This window comes from Homo sapiens, chromosome 6 (assembly GCF_000001405.40).
Source record: "Homo sapiens chromosome 6, GRCh38.p14 Primary Assembly".
Taxonomy (NCBI): domain Eukaryota; kingdom Metazoa; phylum Chordata; class Mammalia; order Primates; family Hominidae; genus Homo; species Homo sapiens.
The window spans coordinates 138,237,443-138,256,346 of NC_000006.12; the positions used below are offsets into that span (position 1 = coordinate 138,237,443).

Genomic DNA, 18,904 nt, shown 5'->3' on the forward strand with positions numbered 1-18,904 from the left:
CTTCCAGAAGAATTAGAGGCAGTAAAATCTGAAAAGTCATGACTTTTAGCAGCATATTATCAAATGAGGGATTTTTTTTTCTAATTGAGATTTCTCCATGTAGTAGCCACCACCAGGTCTTTTTAGGCTCAACTAGACATGGAGACTGGTAAGACCCAAATAGGCCACCCTTGGTGTTATATTCACTTTGCAGGACACAGGACAGGAAACAGAAGCAGGACAGTGTTAGGCATTGTTATTCCTGGGGTTCCTCACAGCAGCCTAGAGAAGAACCTCTGGCTCTCAAATGACAGCGTAGGTGCAAGGAGATGAGAGCCATCTCGGTGAGTGCAGTCACCTTGGTCTAGAAGCCCCATGTCCCAAATAGGACCAATATTTCTGAAACAACTCTATTAGCAGAGTTTGCAGAGTTCCTGCAGAGGACGTGTCAATTCGAAGAGTCAGTAAACCTAGGGAAGCCCAAACCTGTGGCTACCCACCAGGTATTTATAGTTGATTCACAGTTCTCCCAATTCAGATGTAGTGTAGGAATTTGGAAACATTTTTGCCATAAGCCATGCTACCTAGTAACACAGCTGATGTCCTGCCTTTATGAAATTTCCAGAAGAACACAGCTAGAGGGTTGACCCAAGGTCAAACTCATTCATAGAGCAGGAGAAAGCGTTTTGCTAACCCTTTTCCCACACTGCACAACCTGGGAGTTAATAAATTCTGTTCTATTTCACTACGAAGGGAGCTTTTTCTGATTAATTTCCAGCCACCTGAGTTGATTCTAGATAGAATTATTTGGCACATCTAAAAATCGCTAATTTGCGTTCCCCTATGATGCTCAGAGGAACAGGTTGTAAGAATGGTTCCTTAGGGAAATATTACTTTTCCTATATGCTTAAAAACAAATTTCCAGGGATTTAAAATATATTTAGTTATATTTAGTAATAACCAGTCCTAAATCAGGCTGACTTTCTGTTTAAGAGGGATTTGATATCCTCTCTGGTCAATCCCAAAGAATGTTGGTAATAAGCTGATACCTGCAGACATGTGTGTTGCTGTCTTATTTCTTTAACAGGTGTGCATTGAGACGTACATAAGCAGCTGTCACCAGCGTAGCATAAACACTGCTGTGCGGGCAACTCTCAGTCAAATGCTGAGTGACTTGACTTTACAGTTACGACAGAGGCAGGAGAATACGGTGAGTCTGTGACACCCCCATGTTCATCACCTTCCTGGTGGTGTCTGTGTATCCCATGCCCCGGGGCCCCCACTGCCAGGGCTGCCTGCCTCCTGAAAACAGTAGGAAGAGCTTGCTTGTTTTAACAGAACATTTATTTGTACACATTAAGCTCTTTAGATGTTTGCCTATTTCACCCTAAAGCTTTGAGAATTGCTTTTCCTTGCAGTTTCCGTGATTTTTTGAGTTATTTTAAAACTTATTTTTTAATCATTGTTTTAAAACTTCTCATACTGAAAATTTTTATTAGAAACATTGCGATACACTAACAAATATTGGAAGTAAATTTGAAATTAAGAAAAATGAATAGAATTTATTACATGCTTTGAGGTTGGGTATGTTTCCCTTTGTTAACTAAAAGATGGTGGCAGGAGGCCTCCTTCACCTGCTGGGGCCTTCAGGGTGAAACTAAACTTGTCTTCTCTCTATCATCAAAGCCCACTAGAGCTTTTTGCTCTAAACTTGAACAGATTGTCTAAAGTGAGCATTCCAGGGGAAAATGTAAACGTAATTGGCTCCTTGTATATATTATCTTCTGGGAATGTTAATGAGAGAGTGATTCCTCTTCAAAATTGGTGTTTTGTGTTGTTTTAAAATCTGCCTCTGTCATAATTTAGATTAAAATCCTTTTGAAATCTGCAAGGAGTGTTCTGAAATGACATTAGTTATTTGTTCAAATGGAAAATCTCAGTTACAGCTGGACGTGGTGGCTCACACCTGTAATCTCAGCACTTTGGGAGGCCGAGGCAGGTGGATCACCTGAGGTTAGGAGTTTGAGACCAGCCTGGCCAACATAGCGAAACCCCGTCTCTATTAAAAATCCAAAAAATTAGCCGGGTGTGGTGGTGCACACCTGTAATCCCAGCTACTTGGGAGGCTGAGGCAGGAGAATCGCTTGAACTCAGGAGGTGGAGGTTGCAGTGAGCTGAGATCATGCCCACTGCACTCTAGCCTGGGTGACTGAGTGAAACTCTGTCTCAGGAAAAAAAAAAAAAAAAAAGAAAGAAAATCTCAGTTACAGTCCCAGATATCTCTGAAATTAATTTTATAAAAATTAGGATTTCTTATTTAACCTCAACTATTTGTAATTATTTTTAATTTCAATTATTTTCTAATTTTTAGAAAATCATGGAATTGAGGAGAGCCTTAGAGATGATCTAGTCAAATTCTTTTTTCCTCATTTATAGATGAGAAGGTGAAACTCAGAAAGATGAAATCGAAATCTAAAATGAATGAGCTTATCAATGAAGGAGCCAGAAGTAAACCCCTGGTCTCTAGCTGACTGCCAGTGCAAGTTCTCAGTTAATATGTGCTCTGGCAGCCAGTGTTGAAAACAACACTAATCTGAAAAAACAAATATTGATTTTTTTTCTTTTCTGTTTGCTGTATCCAAAGCCCCAGTTTCTATTAAAAATTGTTTTAACTTGAGATATTTTTATTACTTTAGCTTACAGCTTGCTAAAAACAATTTTATTTATAGTAGGATTTTGGATATAGCTAGTATGGGAATATTTAGTTTAAAAGAAATTAAAATACATAAATAGAAAATAAGAGAAAAAAATTTTAATTGAGATAAATCTAAGATGTTGAGAAATCTTATAATATACACTCATATTTCATCCATGCTAAATGACAATATGATCAAACACTATATTAATAATATCCTAATATTTTACATCATTTAAATCAAACTTTGTAATTTCAAAGTGCTTTCAATTATATGAGTTCATTTAATCTTATTTTAAAATTTTTAAGTAGGAGAGTATTAGGTTTCCAGTCAAATATCCCAGCCTTTTAGCTCATACTGCTCTTCCATAAGAATGGCAAAGGTATGGCTGTGGAGGTGCAGGTGATACTGTAGAGGCTGTCTGTCTCCATCCTGGGTATTATGTGGCTAAACAGCCTTCTGGTCCTGCTCATCACGGACCATCTGGACTCACCCCAACCGGAGGCAAGATCTCAAATTAGGTGGAAAATTGGTGTTTCCTGTTATTTCCTTTCTATTACTCATGCGGTCCCTGGAGATGTGATTCCATGTCCCAGAAAACATAGGTCTCAGGTTGCTGGTATTTGAAGCATTTGTGATGTCCAATGGAGGGAGACATAAGTTTTGCCGCATAAGAATTTACGTATTTTTTTTAAAGCTCTTAAAGTGGAATCATCTATAGGAATGGAGGGGTTTGCTCTAAAGAGGCCACGTATTCCCCTGGGAAACACTGAGCATTACCTGGGGAAGATGCGTATATTTTCTAGCACGGCCTATCACTGTGCAAAAGAAAATTTTTAAAATCTCAGGACCCCCAAATTTTTTATGCCAAAGGGAAGGTTAAGCCTGGAGGCTGAGTCATGTAACACCCTCTTCCGAATGAGATGCTGCTACTAGCGTTATGCATTAGCCAGACCACCTCAGAAGGGTAAAAGGCCTCAAGTATATCCAAATGACTGCCCCCACAGATCACTCAAGTCAAATCTTTGCTGGCCTCCCGTAAACAAGGACATGCCTATTGTAACTTTAGATCCGCAATCTAGGTCTAGCGCCTAAAACTAAAATCTGTTTGATTCCACACTGATAAAGTTGATTACAAGCCCATCTTCCCAGGTGCAGAATAAAGGCAAGATCCATCACTCCTCTGTCTACCCAGAGATATCTGCATAATTGATTCTTCCGTTACTCCCATTTTTTTCTTCAAACATTCACCTTATGTAAAATTTAGATTTACTGGGCACTAAGTAAAATCTCACAAGCATGTAACCATTCGTGTTACTGCCTACCTGCCCTTCTTCCTACATGCCTTCCCCCTTCCTTTAAGGAAATGTAGAAACCTCCTGAAATGTAAAACCTCCTGAAAGCCTCTTCAGAAAAACAGCCACAGGTGCAGACAGCCACAGGTGTGTCAGCAGCTCACACTTTTCCCGGGCGTGCCCTAAAGCTGGCTTAATAAAACTCAATTGATTGAGATACTTGCCTCAGTCACTCATTTCAGTTATCAACTGGAAAGACATCATGGGCCACCTCAAAATTAGGAAGGTTAAATGCAGTGGAAAGAAAATAAATAATGTAGAATGCCAAAATCACTAGCAGGATGTGTATCTTCAACCTAATAAATGTTTATCCCCAGCTGCATGCCAGGACAGACGATAATTTTGATTTTGTATCGTCACAAATCCTACATATTATCCAGCTTTATTATTGAATTATTTTAGGTAACCTAAGCTATTGTTAAGTTGTAAGTTACTAATTTCAAAAAGTAAAGTTGCTACATTTAAATATTTGGGGCTGAAAGGTTGAAGGATTCTCCTACCCTTAAATATGACTTAAATGTGCTTCCTCCGGAATGTTGTTCTCAACTTGACTTTAGCCATTCTGAGCTGTAGATACTGACATAACATTTCGCAAAAGTTGTTGTGGAAGCAGCTGAGCTTGCAAATTAATGAGCAGAGAATGGTAGAAATGCGTGCCTGTAGCAAGTTTAAAAATTAAATCAGCACCATGGGATGAGTTACGTGTCCGGTAATTAGTTGGCATGAAAATACTTCCGGATTATCTCTTGGTGCAAAGAGGTAAGGAGAATAAAGTGCCACCTTCCTAGTCTCTTCTCAGTAGTCACTGAGTTATCCCTGCAATGGGAAGTAAGTCTGATTATTTGTAAATGTCTTTTCCTTCCTATTTTCCCTTCCCTCACAGTTCTGTCTCTGCCCTCATAGTTCTGGATGTACCTAGCCAAGAGCAGCTGGCTAGGTACAGTTAAAATGCTCCCCATCAAATACAAAGATGGAGATTCTGACCAGTGGTTATCTTTGGACCTGTATTTTGAAGTCCAGGAACCTAATCCTTCTTATGGCCAAGAGTCTGTGTTTATTAGGGGCCACGCACAGTATCAGCTGTAGCCTTGGAATAGGTTGTTCTCTGTGCGAAATTAACTCACCTCTTCAGGTAGGCATTGCCCCAGGTCACAGCCCAGCATCTTGGAATCCTGCGAGTTTAAGTGCACCACAGGGTTTAAACTTCCAGGAAGTATCCACGCCAGAGTGTCCACACAAACGTGACTGAATTATTTTGGGAACTGATAAGCTCAATTCCAGAGATCATAATCTGTCTCATAAACACCGTGAATAATGAAACGCTCTCAAGAGCTGGTGGGTAGGGGTGGGCTCAGGCAAGGTAGCCGAGCCCAGGGCACCCCGGAAGCCATTTTGTTTCCTAGAATTTTCCCATTGTCAAAGAGTCAAGATTTTTCTTGCCTGAATCTCCTAATTGTGTGTGTGTATCTCCCTTACTAGATAATTGAAAACCCAGATGTCCCACAGGATTTCGGGAATCAAGGTATGGCATTTGATTTGTACTAGTTCAGTTTTTAAAGCAGGTGTGAGAATGCCTACTGTGTGCTTGGAGTGAGGGGTACAAAGATGTCTAGGAGCTCTCGGTTGTTTTACCATTCTCTTGGAGGTTGTGCTTGGCTTTGCCTTAGGTGGCATTATTTAATCAGCTGTTGTCTTCCTTCTGTTCCTACGTTCACTTATGCCAACCACACCTGTTCCTGATCTAACTACCTGAGGGAAATTAACGCTTCACATACCTCTCATTTGGAGGCGGGCTTTGTTAGTTACTTCATTCTCCATGAAGTCAGGTTTAATTGCTAAAATGAGAATAACTAGATAGAAGATTATAGAAACCTGATTGGCATACAGTGTTATTGCACCAGAATTGTGTTTGTCAAATACCAATTTTTTGACATGAATGATGAGTCATCTCACAGGGCCTCTTGCAGACAGCCCAATTTAAAGATCAGCTGAAATCAAGTTAAGGAACTTTCATTCTGACCCACAGGAAAAGAAAAAATATAGAAGTCCACATATATAATTAACCAGCAATTTAATTTTTAAAAACAGGTTTGATAATATTGTTTTCTGAAAGTATGCAAAAATATCTGATTAAAAAATTGAAATTTAGACTTTGTTCAGTAATTTTTTAAATACTGCAAAAATCTGCTTTTCTATTATATGTGCCAGTTAATAATAGTGAGAAGGAGATGGAGGTGAGGAGGAGGGAAAAAAAAAGGGAGAGAATGAAAAGGAGAGAAACAGCTTAATAGCCACAATTAGGAGAGGAAGAGTATTTGAAAGAAATGAGGAAGAGACACGCCTTAAGTCACATTCTAAAGCATCACTAGAGTTGTTTCACTAGAGTATTGTTTCAGTCCCATGATGCCACATTCTTGGGCCGCGGACTGGAAGGTGCCCTTTTCAGTTGGATGCTCTCAGTGACGTGCGCTAAGATGTTCCATCTTCCTTTCCTCTTTTTGGCTATGGTGTTCTCATAAAGGCTTCACTTTAATGTAGGATGATTTTATAAACTAAAAAAAGGGGGTCTGCGACTTCTTGGTCAAGGATACATCTCTAAAAAATATAGTAGTAAAAAATTGACAGAGGACTCATTTGGCGTTTGTCTAAAATTGAGCTTAAGGACTACTTGTGTGGGTTTTATTAAACTATGTTTTATCATTGTAGCTTATTTCTTCTTTTTTATTGCTGCACTTAAGATCTTAATTCTGAGGACCAGGCATTTATTTCTCTTTCCCTGCCTTCCTCCAACCTTACTTTCTCTCTTACACATTTGCCATTTTCTCTCCATCTTCCTTGACGTACCGTCATCATTCATTTATACATTCATCAGATACTTAGAGCCACATTTGTAAAGACGTTTACAGGTTTTTTATTTTAGAAAACAAATGCTTCCACTTACTATTTCATGTAGCCTGACAATTCTGTGAAATTGGTATTATTTATCCCATTTTTGCCAGAAGAAAAACTGAAGTTTGCCCAAGCTCACACAATCAGCAGTTTTCGATATGTAGTTGAACAGATTCCAGATTTCAGCCTTTTTCCCACTCTGCTTCTGTGGGAGTTTTGGTTCTAGTTGCTGGAAACTAGAACACATTTAGAGGGAAATTTTATTTTTCTGACATTGACTGTTGCTTCAGTATCAACAAAGACCATGTGCCCTGCAGATACTCAACAAATAAAGTAGGTAAAGATTTGGCTAAATTATTTCACCCCATTTTTCTCTGATTTCTTAGTTCCAAAGCCCATCTTTTCCCATGCTACCTTATTTTATCTCTCTGTGATACCATTCTAAACAGCTCAGAAGACCCAGAAATTCAAGGGTCAGAATAAGGAATACACACATAGACCACTGGCCTAAATATTAAGAAAATTCTTGTCCATCAAGATGTTTTTGAAATTACTAAATTTCTCTTTGTTAAGTGTGAGTGATTTTTATTAATAAGAAACAATCTATTTTCTTTCTGGACTATCTTTTGCGTGTTTTGCTTTAGAAAGAATAATTATAAGCCAGGCGCGGTGGTTCATGTCTGTAATCCCAACACTTTGGGAGGCCGAGGTGGGTGGATCACCTGAGGTCAGGAGTTCAAGACTAGCCTGGCCAACATAGTGAAACCTGTCTCGACTAAAAATACAAAAAATTAGCTGGGTGTGGTGGCAGGCGCCTGTAATCCCAGCTACTTAGGAGGCTGAGGCAGGAGAATCACTTGAATTTGGGAGGCGGAGGTTGCAGTGAGCCAAGATTGCGCCACTGCACTCCAGCCTGGGTGACGGAGTGAGGCTCTGTCTCCAAAAAATAAACAAACAAACAAAAGAATAATCACACTTAATTCTTATCATTTCTGTGATCATCACTTTGGTGGCCTAAGGGCTTCTCCACATCTGAAAATCATCTTTTCAGTCTCAAAAACCATCTAAAGTGGAGGATGGGAAGGATGGTTCAGGGAGCTCGTCGTGCCCCCTGTCGATGTCTCATGCCTGTAACCTCCTCTGTTTTGAAGGGTCAACAGTAGAGTCCCTCTGTGATGATGTTGTCTCTGTACTCACCGTCCTGTGTGAGAAGCTGCAAGCCGCCATAAAGTAAGTGCCCTAACCACTGCCGCTTTTCTTTACCAGTGGTCTACTTCTGAAATAACCTTTGTCTGCAGCATCACTTCAAATTATGGATTGTAAGATTATAGGGACAATAGTTTCCCCCCTCCACACCCTAAACGCTGTTATTTACTAAGGAATATATTCTGAAAGTTGGTGCAGTTCAAATAACCAAATACCATTACTAGAGTATATAACTTTCTGATGTGACAATGGGAAGATGATACCTTACAGAGAACAATTGCTTCATGGAGCATGAAGCTGAGTGGGAAGAATCCTGGGCTGAGTGCTGGTTGGTATGAGAGCCAGTCCTGTCTCAGCCAGATCTCAGCTGTGTCCCGGTGCCTGACTCTTCTCATCAAACCATGCTGCCCTTTCTTCCTCTACCAAATGACAGCGTTGGACTGTGCTCTATTTCTTCTAACATTCCAGAGCCTATGAGCTCACACAACTGTCTTTAAAAAGAGCATGTTACTCTTTTACTTTTTTTTGTTTTGTTTTGCGTATCAGCTTAATCAATATCTGAGTTCACTTAGGTGATGCCTGCTGCTCCATCTTTCCGTGCAGTCATTAACAAGACAACCTATGCACCTGTAGTAAAGCCAAATCATAAAACACCAGACTTTCAACATGGGGCGAAAAGTCTCCACCAGCTACATATGCCATGAATTGCAAAATTCTACAACACATTACAATTCTGAAGTGTCCTTTGAATCATGAAAGACATTAAACTATCATTCATTGGTAACTAGGACATCTGATAATGCAGAAAACTCACTTGTTGAATTTTAAATGCAGTAATGAGTTGGGAGAAATAGTCTAGTTGTAGGCAAGAATGAGGACTCTCACTTTGCTGGAAACATTGCAGAAACTCATTTTGTTATTTGTTTTGCTTTTGGTTTCTCAGAAATTTAGGATTTTTTAAAGCTAAACATGGAATTACTCTTAAAAGTTGTTGCCAAATGGTTTCTTCGTCAATTCTTCTGTTGTTCCTGTAAGTCACCTCTATATTTTGACCAAAGTAAGCTCTCTTTATTGAGGCACTTCAAGGCACAAATAGAAAATAAAATAGTGGTACCAGGGTTGGGGTAGGGGAGAGGAAACGGGGAGATATAAGGCAAAGGATTCAAAGTAGCAAATGTGTAGTTGAATAAGTCTAAAGATCAAATGTACAACTTGGGGATTATAGTTATTAATAGTGTATTGTATTCAGGATTTTTGCTAAATGAGTAGCTTACAGCTGCTCTTGCCACTGGGATGTGGATGGGTAGTGGGAGGAAATGAGTAACTGTGTGAGATGATGGATATGTTAATTTGTTTCACTATAGTAACCATTTTACTATATATATAAATCCTATAACATCATGTTGTAAACCTTAAATATGCACAATAAAGTTTATTTTTAAAAATGAAAAAGCCTATATAATACATGGATAGCATAAACCAAAAAGAAATAGCACTTAACTTTTTCCCTACCCCCACCCTCAAATTTCTCCCATCCCTGGACCCTGGCAGGCTAGGCAGACAGCAGGTCTGGGCTTCCCCTTGCTCAGGAGGGCTGAGTCCTACAGCAGATGGATGTAAATAGTTCCTGCTGTACCCTGCTTAGGTGCCCATCTTTCCTGACCATGGCGTGTTGGAACAGTGGAGCTGGCACTCAGATTACCATCCTAACTGAGGGCTCTAGCACCAACTGCAGCGACCCCATCTGTAAGGCCCCTATGCCACCTGCTTTGCTTGGGACAGTCCCAGATTTTACCTGTTGTGTAATAATTATAATTACCCTCCTTCACTCTCAAAGGTGTTCTGGTTTGGATAGGTCATGTGTTCACTCTACCCATCAATGACCAGAGGTCTGATCTGTTCTAGTGCTAAGTCCTCATCCCCGTCCAGTTCCCCTCCATCATAACACAGACAGCTGGTATAGCAGAGTTGGAATATGTTTCTATTGGCATATTTTCTCCTGAGACCCAATCAAGAGTGGTGTTTAATCACTATTGGCTCAACTACATTATCTTTGTTGGATTACCTGGGTTAAAACCCACGCTTTGCCCCTTACTGGCATGTGACTTTGGACAAAGATCTGAACCACCCTAAGTCTGTGTATCCTATAAAATAATTAATAGACTATTTCTTATGATAATTACTATAATATTGTATAGAATATAATATCAGTCATATAAAACGCATTCATGTTTTTGTAAGATTGAGTGAGAAAATTCACTTAAAAGACTGGGAATGCCCATCAGCCAAAGAGCTCCAGGAACACCTGAAGTTAACAGGATTCATTTTAGTAACTTCTTATATGAGGGAGCCTGTCCACCACGGGAAACCACAGGACAGTAAAAGGGTGTTAGGAAGGGTTGTTATAGGATTTTAACATGAGTTAGGTGACTTAGAATGGGTTAAAAATTGAGCGTTCTGTTCAAAGATTGGGTGCTGTCAGAAAGTAGGCGCAATTCTAGCACTGGGCATCTTAAGTTTTTCTAGCAGACAGGATGAACAGATGGGAGCTAGAGTTGTCATAGAAGAAGAAGTGGGAGTCAGTCATAGGGGAGAGGGACATTTGTTCATTTTTGTGGTCATATAGAGCCCTTTTAAAAAAGAAGACCTCTGTTCAGGCATGGCCGCTGATTGGCTTTCATCCTGTTCCAGCGCAGTCATGGTGAGTCCTCATCTGATCTTAACCCTGTGAACTTGTTTGTGTTCACCAGGGGACACCACAGCCTCGCCGGTGGCAGCCAGGTACTTCCAGCTGTCGGGGGTGCTTCTCCCTTACCCCTGCTCCACCCCCAGGTCCTAGCATTGGCAGGGAATAGAACGAAGACCACCAGAACTACAAAAAATATAAAGACTGCATTTGTTACTTCACAAGCAAGGGAAAACTAATTAGCTAAACTTTTTTTCTGAGTAGTTTTCTAAGGGAAAAATCTGGAGTTTTTAAGTGCTAGAAACGTGGGAGAGGCTCATGGTAGTTATGCCAGTTAGTAATTAAAACCTAGCTAGAGGTCAGGAGTTCGAGACCAGCCTGGCCAACATGGTGAAACCCCATCTCTACTAAAAATACAAAAAATTAACCAGGCGTGGTTGCAGGTGCCTGTAATCCCAGCTACTAGGGGGGCTGAGGCAGGAGAATCGCTTGAACCAGGGAGGCAGAGGTTGCATGAGCTGAGACTGCGCCATTGCACTCCAGCCTAGGCAACAAGAGCAAAACTCCGAAATAAATAAATAAATAAAATAAATAAGTCCCCTAGCCAGCAAGATAAGGCAGAATGAGTCTGTAGGCCCAACACGGATAGGCTTAAAACATACCATTGTTCCTTAGTCAGAAAAGAGTCTTAGAGTAGGTCCAGTGAATGCCTGGCATTCTGGGGTTCAAGTTCATGGTTCTTTAAACCTGGATGGTTCCAGCCACCCAGGAACCCCCATCAGCTCCAGGAATCCCTCTCATGTAGTAAATATTTGACATACATTTGCTTTAAACTGGTTTGTTTGCTTTTAGAATAGTTGCTGCTAATTCTAGTCATCACACAGTTAAGAACACTGGGCTGTGTACATCAGAAATTTGACTGTAGATTGTTAGGAAAATGCATTGTACAAACAAACACTGCAAATGCACACACATACATATTAGAAACTAAAGGTTGTAGATTTCAATCAGTCACTGAAAAACAAAGCATTTCTTAACCACATGACTTAAGAATAGGTATTTTGTTTTTGTTTTGTTATTATTATTTTTATTTTTTGAGACAGTCTCACTCTGTCGCCCAGGCTGGAGTGCAGAGGCGTGATCTGGGCTCACTGCAACTTCCACCTCCTGGGTTCAAACAATTCTCCTGCTTCAGCCTCCTGAGTAGCTGGGACTACAGGCATGCGCCACCACACCCAGCTAATTTTTTATATTTTTGGTAGAGGCGAGGTTTCACCATGTTGGCTAGGCTGGTCTCTTGGTGGCTAACTTCTGTAATCCCAGCACTTTGGGAGGCCCAGGTGGGTGGATCACTTGAGGTCAGGAGTTTGAGAATAGGTTTTAAATGGAGAAAAGAATTCATGTGCATATGTTTCTAGGATTTCTCATTGTACATTGGATCAAAGATGGCTTTAGGCATGTTATTTTAGAGCTTAATGATTTTATAGGATTCTCAGTCTTGTTTGATTTTCCAGTACAATTCCCCTGGTCATAGTTCTGCCTCTAGAAATTGATTGCTTTGTATGATTTTGGTATTTGCCATCACGACTCCATTACCCTAAAATGGGGGCCTTTTGCTAAAGATGCTGGGGGCACAGGATGCTTAGCATAGCTGTAAGGGAAGACCTTTATGTCCACCTGGTAAGATAGTCCCGTGCACCAGCTGCTCTCAGTCTGGTGCTTCTGTTCATTCTCCTTGCTAAGTTTTTACTTGTGTACCATTGCTTCTGATTTTACTAACTTAATTCCTTTATTTCTATTAGCTAAACTGGATGCCTCTTCTACTCTCTGAATAGGCGATTCCTCTGAAATCACACCAGAATCAGTATTTACTAACCTCAACAGCCATTTCCAAAATCAGTGCCTCTTAGGGCTTTAGCTCTGTAGGGGTGTGTGTTCATGATATGCTTGGACTCTTGGGAGGATTCAGAAAATGTATTCAGGTACGCAGAACACTCCCTCGCATGCCTTGGAGATGTGGTATTAATAGAATCCTATGTTAGGCAAGTTGAGTTACATGATGCTTTTTAAATCCAAGAATTTCTGGAAGGATAATTGGACTTAGAAAGATACTTACTTATTCTCTGCCTGTTTCCCACCACTCTTTCCCTGCTTCTCTCTCCTCCTAGAACAGAGAATGTTAGAGCGAAACCTATACCAACGCAGGCTTGGAATAGATGGGGCCTGCCAAAGCATTCCCACTGTCTGTCTTAATTCCATTTCACTCCTTACACACTTAATTTCTTCTCTCCTTTCTTTAACTAAATTCAAATCTATTTCTAAGGAAAGCAAAGTCAAAATGGTTCAAAACAAAACTCTAAGAGCTCCAGAGATACAAAACGTGCTAGGCTGCCCTCCCAGTAGCCTTGCCAGGAGGGGTGGCTGCTTTGCCTTCACGGCCTGCGGGTCCACGCCTGAGCGTTGTTCTCCACAGATCGTGCACCTGGGAAGAAGTTCAGTGATGAGCAGAGAATGAGACCAGCAGATACTAAGCCTGCCAACCATGAAATGCTCACAGAAAAGACCAAGAAAAGTGACTTACAGCCCTCCTAAGTAGACAGATTTTTCCCTCATGTGTTTTGAAAGAGTTGGCTGGTTTCTAGGTTACTTTTTGCCTTGTGCATTCTACTTACTTGTTTGTACAAGGACAGCTTTTACACGCATACATGCTGCGTACGTGCGTGTGTGTATCTAGTGGAAGGTGCTTACGTTTTAAACAGCTCCTTTAATGGTGTGACTCATGCATGGGCACGATCATCTGTTTTCCAGACTGCCGCAACCCACGGAAAAGCTGCTGCGTTCAGTCTCCAAGGAGACTCTCAGGCCAGTTACCTTGGCAATGTGTTCCCTGTCAGCGAGTCTGATAACCTGGGGGTTGAAGTATTCACCATGGCACACTTTGCCAATAGCTTGATGACTCATAGCTTTTCTATGGACTTATTTCCAATGATTTCAGAAATTGAGAGTCTTTCCTGTCTATAGTTGTTTTCGTTTTGTGATGCTAGACTGACAGTTTGAAAGAAAAAGAGAAATTTTTGAATTGGAGCATTTCATAATTTTTCTTCTTAATAACAGGTCAAGTGATTGGTCAGAATGATTAACTGAGACTACAGTGAAGGCAATCCTTCCAGAAGTGATTTTTTAAATATGGCTTACAATTGACACCATGGCCCTCTGATTTGTCCTGTCCACTCTCTTCCTCGTAAAGCAAACAAATTGAACATTCTGAAATACAGATCTGGTCATATCACTCTTTTACCTCCAGATAAAGTTCCAGACATCTTAGTGTGGCCTACAGGACCCTTCCTGATCGGGCCTCTGTCCACCTCTTGGGCTGATACCACCCTCACACCCTGTGCTTTAGCCACAAACCTCTCAGCCCAAATCCCTTCCTCCTCCACCCTGATATTTTGTCACACCTTTTCCTCTGCTTCACCATGCCACAGTCTCCTACTTGAACTTTAGGATCTACTAAGACAGCATGTCCTGTGGACATTCTTTCTAAGAAGTTGCTCCTGCCATATGGTCTCATAGAACCTTGCGTTAAGGTATTCATTCACAGCCCTTCCTACCAGTGCTTTATCTACTTGCTTATATGTCTGTCCAGTCCCGTAAGAGTGAAGAAACATGCTGTTTCATGTCAGGAGCTACGTCTTGGTCAAAAGCATAGGGAAGCTTGTAGGACTAGAAGCCTAGAAATGTGAAGTCCTTACCTGGCTCAAGAATGGCTCATCATTTCTTACTCTTCCTCCATCCATCACCTTCCTCTTGGCAAATAGTAATAACTTTTGTGGAGACTCAGCCTTTCCCCATTTCTTCTTCCACCCTCAAAGGGCGTGGTAGACAGAGTATATCCAAATATAAGTGGCATTCCCTTCTACAGAATAATAACATTATTTAATCACTATACAGCTTTCTTTGGACAAGGGAGATTTTAGAATATGGGTCAGGAACCTTTTTCTATAAAGGGCTACAAACTGTCTCTTTGTTTTTGTTTAGTTCTATAAACCTTAAAAGAAAATAAAAACAGTATTTTTAGTGGACAGACCATGGAAGAATTTTGACAAAGGGCTTTAGAGCATAATATCAATGTCAGTGTATTTAATGGCACATAAATACTAATATCAATGTCAGTGTATTAAATGGCACATAAAGGACTCCACCCCCTCACTATCCTCTGTCTTACAATTGTGTGGTCTTTCTCAATTTGGCAGTTGTGTGGATGTAACCTCTGGCCTTAGCACTGTCTACTGTTAACTTTTCTTTACTTCCTTCCTATCTCTTCAAGTTTCTAGTTGGCCTGCATGAGCCTTTCTGTTCCTTCCACCCCCTTCTCCTGGGGGTAATTTGAACTGTTAAAGACACTAGACTTCCTGACTTCCTTTGGACATTTATTTTAAATTAGGAGAAAGAGACATAACCAAAAATTATTTTTATAAGCAAGTTTTTCCTTTTTCTGAGTATTCCCATCCCACATTACTGAGTGAACTCTCTAAAAAAGGATTTATTATATATTTGCAATAAACATGTCCCTGAAAATTAAATTCTTCCTTAGCCCTATCTGTCACTCTTGTCACCTGCCTGGATTTTAATACTTTCTGGTAGGCTGGGCAGAGAAGTTAATCTGGATATTAGGAATGTGTTCCCCATAAAGCTGTCTGTTCTCTTCATCTGGCTCTGTTCCTCTATGAGGAACCCCATAATGATAACTTGGACACAAAATAATTTCTCCACTGAAAAATCATGTTTCCTCAGTAAAGAAGAAAAGTCTAATGCAAGTTCACAAAGTGTTCACCAATGAAAAGATAATGTGGTAAATGGTCTCTTGAAAGGTTTAGATAATATAAAAATTAGCATTTCTGCCATAAACTATGGACTTTAGTTAATATATCAATTTTTTATTAATTGTGGCAAGTGTACTATACCAATGTAAGATTTAACAATAGGTTCAATATGATAAATGTTTCATGGTCAGTTTTTCTATAAATCTCCAAGTGCTCTAAAAAGTAAAGTTTATTAGTTAAAAAAAAAAAATCACCCCAACTGTATTATCTTGCTGAGGCTGCTGTAACAAAGTGCCATAAACTGAGTACCTTAAACAAGAGTTTATTGTATTACAGTTCTGGAGCCTGTACATTCAAGATCAAGGCGTCAGTGGGGTTGGTTCCTCCTGAGAGGTGAGAGAGAAGGATCTCCTCAGGCTTCTCTCCGCGCCTTGTAGATGGCTGTCTTCTCCCCGTGTCTCTTCACACTGTCTTCCCTCAGTGAATGTCTCTGTGTCCAAATTTCCATTTCTTTAAGGACAGAGTCATGTTGGATTAGCATCCCCCCTAGTGAACTGAGTCTGACTTGATCACCTCTGCAAGGACCTATCTCCAAATAAAGTCACATTCGGAGGTGCTGGAGATTAGGACTCCAACCTATGAATTTGGGGAGAGAGACACAGTTCAACCCATAACACTAACCGTCCCCCTAAAACTAGCACTTTAGTAACGCCTACCATTTTTCCGAGCGTGTTTCCACACATCACCTCTTTAATTTTGCCTTGTCTTTTGTCTGCATTTGTGTCGGTTCTGCTCTTCTGCAGTGACAGCCAGCAGCTGCAGCTTCTCTACCTGGAGTGCATCCTGTCTGTGCTCAGCAGCTCCTCCTCCTCCATGCACCTGCACAGGCGCTTCACGGACCTGATCTGGTGAGCACCCACTCCTGACGCCCCGACGCTGATGCCAACCCAAGGGCTGCTGCTGACTGTGTCTCTGGGTCCCTCTCCATGAAGTCCATGACCCACCAGTAGTAGTTTCATCTGTGCGTAAATGTCTTAGAGGGAAAGCAGGGAAATTGTGGCCAGGTGCAGTTGTTCACACCTGTAATCTCCGCACTTTGGGAGGCCGAGGCAGGCATATTGCTTGAGGCCAGGAGCTCGAGACCAGCCTGGGCAACATGATGAAACCTCGTCTCTCCTAAAAATACAAAAATAGCTGGGCATGGCAGTTGTGGGCACCTGTAATCCCAGCTTCTTGGAAGGCAGAGGCATGAGAATTGCTTCAACCTGAGAGGTGAAGGTTGCAGCGAGCGGAGATAAAGCCACTGCACTCCAGCCTGGGTGACAGAGCAAGACTCTGTCCCAAAAAAAAAAAAAAATTAAATAATAATAATAATAATAGGCCGGGCCCAATGGCTCACGCTCCCTGCACTTTGGGAGACCTAGGTGGGCGGATCACAAGGTCAGGAGTTCAAGACTAGCCTGGCCAACACAGTGAAACCCTGTCTCTGCTAAAAATACAAAAATTAGCTGGGCATGGTGGCGGGTGCCTGTAATCCCAGCTACTCGGGAGGCTGAGGCAGGAGAATCACTTGAACCCGGGAGGCGGAGGTTGCAGTGAGCCGAGATCGTGCCTGGGCAACAGAGCTAGACTCTGTCTCAAAAATATATAATAATAATAAAGCAGATAAATTGCTTTGTTGACATCCATCAGACCAAACTCCGCAGAAAAACTGATGATGATTATGGCAGAATATGCTTCCAGGGCCGTCTTTGGTTTATATCATAGGATCATGAGAGACCAGAACCAGAAAATTTTTCTGTGTTTTCAGCTCGTTCAAAAAGCATGTAACTTATGCAGGGGGCAAGAGATACTGAGCTTTACTCCTAGCCCTAGCTCCATCTCAACACGAATACCAGTCTCTTAATCATAGTCAGAGATTCCCAGAAGTGACAGGCCCCACAGGCAGCCAGCTGGTTGTTCTGGGTCCCTGGGCTTATCGACAGGAAGGAAGCCAAATGATAGGTGTCAGTATGGAATTTGCAATTAACTTCTCAAATGAGAAATCATTTTGTTATTTGTAGTAATATGAAACTTTATAACAGCCATTTAGCATTTTGAGTCCATTTCTTCACTTATGATGGTTTCTTAATGCTTCTCTTATATTTTATTTCATTCATGCTAGCTCAATTTATGAGGAAAAGTATTGTTGAAATACCTAGAAATGTTAAAGAGACTTAGAAAACAGGCAAAATGTAGCCAAAAGAAGAAGAAGTAAAGAGCCGCACTCTTGTCATTTCTATGGCATCTGTTTACTCGCAGAGTAAATTTTATCATTTGGCTCGTGGGGAAAGTTACTTTTCTCACCATCTCTTCCCAGGAAAAACCTCTGCCCTGCTCTCATCGTGATCTTGGGGAATCCAATTCATGACAAAACCATCACCTCTGCTCACACCAGCAGCACCAGTACCAGCCTGGAGTCGGACTCTGCGTCTCCGGGAGTGTCTGACCACGGCCGAGGATCAGGCTGCTCCTGCACTGCGCCGGCCCTGAGCGGACCTGTGGCTCGGACTATCTATTACATCGCAGCCGAGCTGGTCCGGCTGGTGGGGTCTGTGGACTCCATGAAGCCCGTGCTCCAGTCCCTCTACCACCGAGTGCTGCTCTACCCCCCACCCCAGCACCGGGTGGAAGCCATCAAAATAATGAAAGAGGTGAGGAGGCACTGGAGATCGCCACCAGGTTTACAAGGGGGCCTGACCAGCGTTTCGCATACAAGAAGCGCTCAGAAAAGGCTTGCCAATCACTTGCCGGAACTTCATTACTGCCTCATGGTGTCCAGTAGCGAATGCTGTCTCTAGAGTCAGTGCGTGTGTACATGTATTGCGAGCTGGGGTAGGAGGGGTCAGTGATGCCCACTGATGCAAAACCGTTTGAGAATCGAGCTAGTGCTTGTTAAGACTCTGTTAGATGTGCACCAGACCAGGCCCATGCTGAGATTTCATTCTTCTACCTTACGTGCTGTTTGTGCAGATATATGTGTTTATTCGCCTTTGCCAACATTAGATTTCAAAATGATTTTATACTCAGGTTGCACATTATCCAACAAAAGAGCTCTGCCAGTCTCTGATTGCTAAGAGGAATCCCTTTGTCCCATTCTTTTGCCTCATTTCTCCCAAATGTCATGACCCCAGCAAGAACATACAGGTTGTCCAGATTGCAATAGCCATCCCAGTGTGCTACTTCATGGTTTTGAGGCAGAATTAGGGTTATTCTGAAGGTGCTTCAAAC

At 41.4% G+C, this 18,904-nt stretch overlaps 1 protein-coding gene across 3 annotated transcripts in view, besides 1 other annotated feature; it reads left to right on the forward strand.

The window, feature by feature from the left end:
• Positions 1-18,904, forward strand: part of ARFGEF3 (ARFGEF family member 3) — a 182,725-nt gene that overhangs the window by 75,504 nt on the left and 88,317 nt on the right. For all 3 annotated transcript variants that reach the window (XR_001743524.2, NM_020340.5, XM_047419108.1), the window contains 5 exons: positions 1,067-1,189; positions 5,510-5,552; positions 8,071-8,149; positions 16,438-16,542; positions 17,994-18,327. Coding sequence is in view for 2 of the 3 variants with exons in the window: in NM_020340.5 (NP_065073.3) it covers positions 1,067-1,189; positions 5,510-5,552; positions 8,071-8,149; positions 16,438-16,542; positions 17,994-18,327 (684 nt within the window). In the remaining variant the exon portion in view is untranslated. The remainder of the gene's footprint in view (positions 1-1,066; positions 1,190-5,509; positions 5,553-8,070; positions 8,150-16,437; positions 16,543-17,993; positions 18,328-18,904) is intronic.
• Positions 13,778-13,947: an enhancer, noted in NCBI's record as "experimental_90581 CRE fragment used in MPRA reporter constructs". NCBI's record gives its function as "activates a minimal promoter by MPRAs in K562 erythroleukemia cells, with activity observed for both the introgressed and non-introgressed 6:138572442 variant alleles {active_cell/tissue: K562}" and the evidence as "EXISTENCE:reporter gene assay evidence [ECO:0000049][PMID:34662402]".